The 7,629-nt window shown below is 44.8% G+C and overlaps 1 annotated feature.

The window, feature by feature from the left end:
- Positions 1,720–1,910: a silencer, noted in NCBI's record as "fragment chr2:65927762-65927952 (GRCh37/hg19 assembly coordinates)". NCBI's record gives its function as "represses an EF-1alpha promoter that drives an FKBP-Casp9 reporter gene in an ReSE screen in K562 erythroleukemia cells {active_cell/tissue: K562}" and the evidence as "EXISTENCE:reporter gene assay evidence [ECO:0000049][PMID:32094911]".

Genomic DNA, 7,629 nt, shown 5'->3' with positions numbered 1-7,629 from the left:
TTTAATTTTTTATTTTAGATGCGGGGAATGCATATGCAGGTTTGTTGCATGGGTATCTTGCATGATGCTGAGATTTGGGGTATGAATGATCCTGTCACCTAAGTAGTAAGCACAGTACCTGATAGGTAGTTTTTAACCCTTGCCCCTCCTCTCTCCCTCCCTCCTTTTGGAGTCCCCAGTGACTATTGTTCCCATCATCTGTAAATGATGCTGACAATATTCTTAACCACATTAGCAAACTGCTAATGACTCTTGTTCTTTGATACCAACATTCCAACCTGCATGACAACCCAGTTCAAGGCCCTGCCTGTGTCCTGCAAGCATGAGGTTTGTCCTTAAATCCACAAAGGCACTCTGCCTGCGGTCTGGCCTGGAGCAGTGCCCTCAAAGTGATGTGACAGACCTGGAAGCAGAGGCCCTCAGGAGGTGCCGAGAGCTGTACCTCTTTGCTCAGAAATGAGAGACAAGAGCTTCATGTACTTCACAATCAACCAAAGTCAATCCCTTGCAGACCTCCACAGAGCACCACCCATTGTCCTATCCCAGGCAACGAGAAAGTTGCTAGCCTCACAAGATCTTTGTCTCCAAGGTTTCAAAATTCCCCAAGATCAGGCATACTGGTGTGCTGCCATAAAAGAAGTTCCAGGGTACCTTCGTAATCCTTCACATGCCACTGGTGCCAGTCTAATACGTAACCAGAAAAAGATGAAACAGAACGCACCCCTAGGAGATTACCGATTTATTTTATCACGTATTTTAAATGAGGCGCAAAGCCTACACAAAAATAAAGTGGAACCAGGGCAACTGCAGAAAGGCCTGATCCCATGGCAAGTGAAAGTCTTAAGTACACTGAGTTGGAGCACTGCCTCATCAGACCAAGACACTATGTAGCGGCAATGTGCTGCTACAATTCAGTACTGGACCCCAACAATAAAGCCGGGACTGTAATTACTATAATGACCTCCCACTGCTATTGTGTCTTTAATTAAGTCTTTATCAGTAGGCATTTGCCACTTAAACGTAACTCACTGTAACTACGGCAGCGTATCATCTACATTTTCACAAAGAATTACTGAATCATATTTCTGTCACAAAGATGAAAGGGAATATTTTAGTTCAAGTGCCATTTGCAGACAAGCTGCATAAAGAAAAATCAAGCTGTCCTTTCGCGGCACTTTCTGACAAGCGAAACTCAACGGAGAGATGCCCGGGGGTTTTGTGTATGTGTGTTTTGGCTGCACCGGGTTTCTTTTTACCACAACTCCACTTCCTTTCTACACAAACTACGGGGAAAGAATGACACCAAATGAATAACACACTTGATTACATAAAATTTCTTGAGGTAGAAAGGGGCTGAGACCCTCCTGTGAGGCCCAGAGATGCTGAGGGTGCTGTCCCCTCACACCAAGGGTAACAGGCCAGGCCAGGCCCACAGCTCACACCTTGCAGCTACTGGCTCTTCCCGCTCCATGGCAAGGCCACCTGGGCAGCTGAGAAAGCCTGTTTTACCCAACGAGGCACACTAGAAGTACCCTGGACCTGGAGAGACCACATTCCAAGTTCAAGTTTCCAGTCATAATCACTTCCTTACGTTAGCATGAAAGTCAGGGCTCAGATGGCTTTTTGGCAGAGCCCAGCTCAGCAAGCCAGACAGCCCTCTGTCAGGAAAAGCCGCCCCAATTCCAGGCCTCCTAAAGGATGTCAGCTGGGAGCCTCTCCCTGCAGCGCTTGCCCCTTGAGGAAGGAAGCGTGAGCATCCACTCCGGTCCTCACTCCTCTGAGGTGACTTGGTCCACCTAGGATCCAGGGAAAGCCCCCACCCCATGCCCAACCCCCAACCTCTGTGGCCAGTGAGTCTGAACCTCACCAGCCTGCACCCAGTGGCCAGGCTGTGGTGCCATCCTTTGGGCTCTTGCATATCACCAAAAAGCCCTTTTGGCTTTAAAACCTGCTCCTCCAAAAGGCATAAATCCCTCCAGAACTGGGGAAGGGCCTGTGCATTGCATGGGTAAGTGCTGGGGGTGGGGGGGCTGTGAGGCCCCCTCAAGGAGAGGAAGGGGTGGGGGAGTCGGGAGGAGAGTCTGGATCTGCTCTGGGCTCAGCGCGGCACCGGGTATCCCCGTGGTGGGACCCAGTGACCGAGAGGCCTGCAGCTCGGCTTTCCTCCCAACTTTCTGCCTGCTTATTTCAGGGGTGCAGACTCCAGCAGGGAAAGCCTGATGCTGCCACCAATTTCCACCTTTTCTCAGTGTCATCTTTGGCCACAACTGCTCCCTGCTTCCTTTCGGTTCTAATTTCATTTTTAACAACATAAAGGTTTTGCCTGAACACAGACGAACTGAAAATGAGAGCCAAACCAAGTGGAGGAGGAAGCATGCTTCCTGGGGGGCACCCCAGGGGAAATTTTATTCAATTTTCTCCCACATATTTGCATCCACTGGGGAGCATCTCAGGTTTTCCCATCTTGGCAGGGACACCTCCCAGGAAGGCGCAACCCAGCTTAGGTGTGGCTGCTGCTGCTGGCTTGTTTCTACAACTGCACTGCTGGAGTCAAGCCTGCAAAATCTAGCAAACAATTCCAAGTTCAGAGAAGAAATCGAAGCTGCCCTCATCCCTGAATTCAGCAATAATTTCAGGATGCTTCATGAATTTTTGTTTCCACCTATTGAAAAAAAGTAGCTCTCCAGCCTAGAATCTACACACTTCCGATGACATAGGTAAGACCAGGAAGTGGGACTTGATGTTTGAATATTTTCAGGCATGGCATCTTGCTGGCCATTTGTCCTTGTTCTATGATGAGCTCTTCTCAGCAGAGATACGGGTCTTCATATCTTCAGTCCTCTTTGCTTTGCCTCAGTCCTCTTTGCTTTGCTTTTCCCTCCTTGGCTGGCCACTGTGCCAGTGTTGCCACTATCGGGCAGTTCTCTCTGGGGTCTGCACACAGCCAGGATGCATCTTGGCCAATGTCAGTGGGAAAATGGGGCTCTGAGCACGGTGGGCCCGTGTTTATGAGGATCACTGCCACTGCTGCAAGTGGACTTCTCATGACAGCCCACGCCTGGGCTTCCAGCCCTCCTCGATTGAGTCTGCTGCTCTCACAGAGAGCTTAGCCCGTCAATTGTTTCTGCTAATGCTCTCAGCTGCTACCTTTTCATCTGACGAAGGACCCAGCCAAGTGATGAAACATATAAGCCAGAATTCACTCTATGCTTCATCAGACAAATGCTTGGCTTTCCGGGGGCCAACACACCTTCTACTGACTGACATGTTTCTAGGTTCTTTACCACGCCCTGCCACGGTACACATTAGGATGTTTCCCTGGGTAAATGCCAAGGTTCTCCCTGGAGGGGAAAAGAAACGTCAGAAACACAGCTCCTATTAAACAATCTGAAATTATCATACACCTAAAAAACATATTCCCTAGAAAGAATCTCTCCTAGACATGATTTTCACCAGAGAGGTAATTCCCTCCCCCATAACATGGAGCTGAGCCCACAGCATGTCATAAATATTTGTTGAATATAAATGAATGATGCATGCATAAATGAATAAATGATTTTCCCCTAGTGACATACCTGATTTCCTTCTCTGTTCCCTTGCTTGCTTTATTCTCAAGCATCTGGTTGCCATTGACTTATAAGAAGCCATGTTTTATTTTCTACATGGAAGATGATGGGAACAGTGCAGGAGCTAAGAGAACTAATATACATTACTATGAAAGAAAAATAAGAACAGGAAAAATGAGAAAAAGGAGGGGTATATTTAGCTTAGAATACCTGTTGTCAACCTTGTCTGTGCATTAGAATCTCCTGAGGAGCTTTAAAAAGTACTGATGCCAGCCGGGCACAATGGCTCACACCTGTAATCCCAGCACCTTGGGAGGCCCAGGTGGGCAGATCACCTGCAGTCAGGAGTTTGAGACCAGCCTGGCCAACATGGTGAAACCCTGTCTCTACTAAAAATACAAAAATTAGCCAAGTGGTGGCAGGTGCCTGTAATTCCAGCTACTTGGGAGGCTGAGGCAGAAGAATCATTTGAACCCAGGAGGCAGAGGTTGCAGTGAGCCGACATCACACCATTGCACTCCAGCCTGGACGACAAGAGCAAAACTCCGTCTAAAAAAAAAAAAAAAAAAAAAAAAAGGACTGACACCTAAGTCCTACCCATACAGGTCCTGACTTAATTAATATGGGGTGTGATCTAGCCATTGGGATTTTTCCAAGTGTCCCAGGTGATTGAGCCATGCAGCCAAGTTTGGGAAACACTGGTTTATAAAATGTCTGCCCTAAAAGACGGGATGCTGGCTAGAGGAGAACAGGAAACTTGGTTCTGAGCCTCTTAGCAGCCAAAGTGAAAAGAAAAAAACAGAATCCATTGCACGATCCACAGTGTTCATGGGATAAAATCAAATCCCAGTTGTTTAGAAGTACAGTCAACCCTGAGACAGACTAGTAAGAGATTGGCTGGGGTTCCTCATGAAGAAGACATGGAATGAACCAAGCAACAGCATCTTCAACAGTGTCCCTATGGTATTCAATCAAGGAATATTTATTAAACACCCAATATGAGGGCAACTGTGTTCCAGATAAACAGACAGACTTAAAACCTGTGGTGGTGCATCCAACATAGCACATCTGGTAGGTGGTGGAGCTAAGATTCAAAACACAGGACTATCTGATTCAAGTCCATGCTTACTCCATGATCAAGTAGCATGGTACTATCTGGGAGTACATACAATAAGTTTTGGATGACTTGTTGCTACAGTATGCTTTAATATGAGATAATAGCATCATTCCAGCCACCATTCTTAAAGCAAATTCTTCAAGAAGTTAGAACCACATGATTCCAGCTCTACTTAAATTACAGATGCATTTATCCTTTCTCCCAGCAGAGGTATTCCTAAAGGCACACCAGTAAACATAGGACATGCAACCCAGGATGTTCATTGTAGCATTGTTTCTAATAGCAGAAGACTAGAATCCATGCAATAGGGTACTGGTTGAATAAACTATGATATATCCATGCTATAGCATAATATGCATATATGAAACATAAAGAAGACAGTCTGGGCAACATGGCAAGATCTTCTCTCTACAAAAAAAATTTTTTTTAATTAGCCAGTCATGGTGGTGCACCCCTGTGGTCCCAGCTACTCCAGAGGCTGAGGCAGGAGGATCATTTGAGCCCAGGAGGTGGAGGCTGCAGACAGCCATGTTCGTTCACTGTCATGGGTGACAGAATGAGACCCCATCTCAAAAAATAATAATAATTTTTAAATTTTTAAAAATAAGGAACATCTTTGTGTTCTGATATTATGAATGAAAAAAAAACAAGACAATGTTCAGGACAGTATACATAATAGGATGCCTTTTGGGTAGGGAAGGAAGAAAAATAATAATATATATAATAAATTTGCTTTTGTTTGCATAAAAAACACCAGAAGAAACAATGAGAATCTAAGGACAATGGTCAGGGTATAGGTAAGCATGATGGATAAGGACAGGACAGAATAGATTCCGAGCACACATATCCTTATATTGTTTAAGTCTTCAAACATGTCAAAGTATTCCCCATTCAAGAAGAGAAAATAAATAATGAAAAAGAGAACTGGATTAGGGCTGAAGTCCCTCAACTAGTAAGTGGTAGAGCTGGAATCTGAACCCAAGTCTGTCTGTTCCCAGGTCCATAGTCTTGACACCATAGTGGTCACCTCCGCCAAAACCTAGGGAAGAAACTCACCAGCTATTAGCCAGCCTGGGAGGCTAACTTGGCTGCAGAAGGCCCTGCTCCCACTCTCAGATCTCTCCCAAAGGAGTTCAGGATCTAGGGGTTCCAAAGCACCATTGCAATCAGGTTTGTTTGTTTGTTTGTTTATCTCCATCAAAGAATAGGGCAGCAGTAACCAACCAGTCCGGGTGGAAAGCCATGTGCTCTGGGTTCACTCTAACAAAGACAAGTTGGGTATGTTTAAATTCACAGCCGTTTGTAATCCAAGCATTTAGAGCTCATCTGTTTAGGGTGAGTTGTGGGCTACAAGCCCTCCTGGTAACAAATAACAATACATGCCAAACATATTATACCTGTCGATCTGGTTTATGGCTATGTCTTGGCTTATATTAAGGAAAGGGCTGCTTCTGTCAATACAGAGTAAAGATGCTGTTCTACACTGAAGAGAAATTTCAAACAAAATCTAGAACTTTACAGCCTGTCTGCTCTGATTTGGAATGGTATGTAATTTTTTACCCTCAGCTTCTTTTCTCAAGTTTGAAATCATCCCAAAGCTGCCTGAGAAGAGACTTAGAAGAATTATTTTTGACATTTCAGGCACAGGTGGTGGAGCTGCCCCTAGATGACACAGCTGATCAGAGAGTGTTTATGCAAAATTCCCCCATTGCCCACCATGTTGGAGAAGCAGATTACAGAGACAAAGGGTGGCACCATTGACCTGGAGAGTATAGAAACTCTTCCTACGTTTTTGGTCTCTGCCTGACAGGGGATCTTGCCTAAGCTGAACTGGTCTCCTTTTTCTCTTGGAGGGTAGGAAAAAAAAGATGGATCAATTTCCCTCCTTTCTCTTGAACCCAAGCCAGCCATGCTTGCTTTGCTTCCAAGAAAGTAACGTGAACTGCCTGAGGTTTGTGGTTTTTCCAGGTCTGGATGGGGAATAAAAAATTATTCTATAAAAGGGGCCCAGATTGACAATACATTGGATTTTGAATTCAAATATGTAGAGCCAGGGTCTGTTTGATATAAGATGATGAAATGAGAGACTATTGTCGGCGGTCTTAGAGTCCTCCCTTTCTGTCTTCATTCCCCCTTCTCTTCTCTTGGTAACCTAGTCATATCTACTTCAGTTTGACTAGCTTGGGCACCTACTGTGTGCTAAGTCGATGGTGCTAGAAATAAGACAGGAGTGGAAATTAGAGGAAAAAATTTCTAAAAAGATCACTCCAATAAAATATGGTGAATATTACAATAGAGGTGTTCAGGTTGTGCTTTGAGAGCATAGATAAGGGGCTCTGGGAAGATCAGGGAAGGCTTCCTAGAGGAGGTGATGTTTGAGCCCAATTTTTAAGGTTATATAGGAGTTAGCCAAACACTGCCTTCAAGTTCAAGGCTCTGCACTTCAAAATGCCACCAGAACCAGCAGCTTTAGACTATTCTCAGTCTCAAGCAAAATGTCCTATCGTGTAAATTTACCTGCCGTTTTATCAGAATCATTTCAGAAACAATTGCTGTTTTCAAAGAACTAACTTTGTTTTAGTATTCTTGCATTCAAATGATTTTAGGTAAAGTGTTTCCAACTGTTGGCAGCTACCATACAGCACTTCATTTTCAACAAGCTCTTAATTCCCTTAACCCACTTGGGATGGAAGTACTTCTGCTAGGGGAACTTAACTAGCATACCTGCATCCCCATCCCATTATTTGGCCTATCTACCAAATAATATGGTGGAATACATTTAAAGAGACCCATGGAAGCCATTAAATATCCCTTTAAAATGGGATTCTATAAAAGTCAACCTACTGATGTTTGTTTCCTCACCTCACCACGCACCCGCCGCACACCATTCCAAAGCTCATACACACACAAGTCTCCCTTTTAACTTCCCTTTTGATGTCTTTTTGT

The sequence above is a fragment of the Homo sapiens genome, chromosome 2 (genome assembly GCF_000001405.40).
Source record: "Homo sapiens chromosome 2, GRCh38.p14 Primary Assembly".
Taxonomy (NCBI): Eukaryota; Metazoa; Chordata; class Mammalia; order Primates; family Hominidae; genus Homo; species Homo sapiens.
Note: the sequence above shows the minus strand (reverse complement) of the source record. Positions and strands in the feature narration are given on the sequence as shown.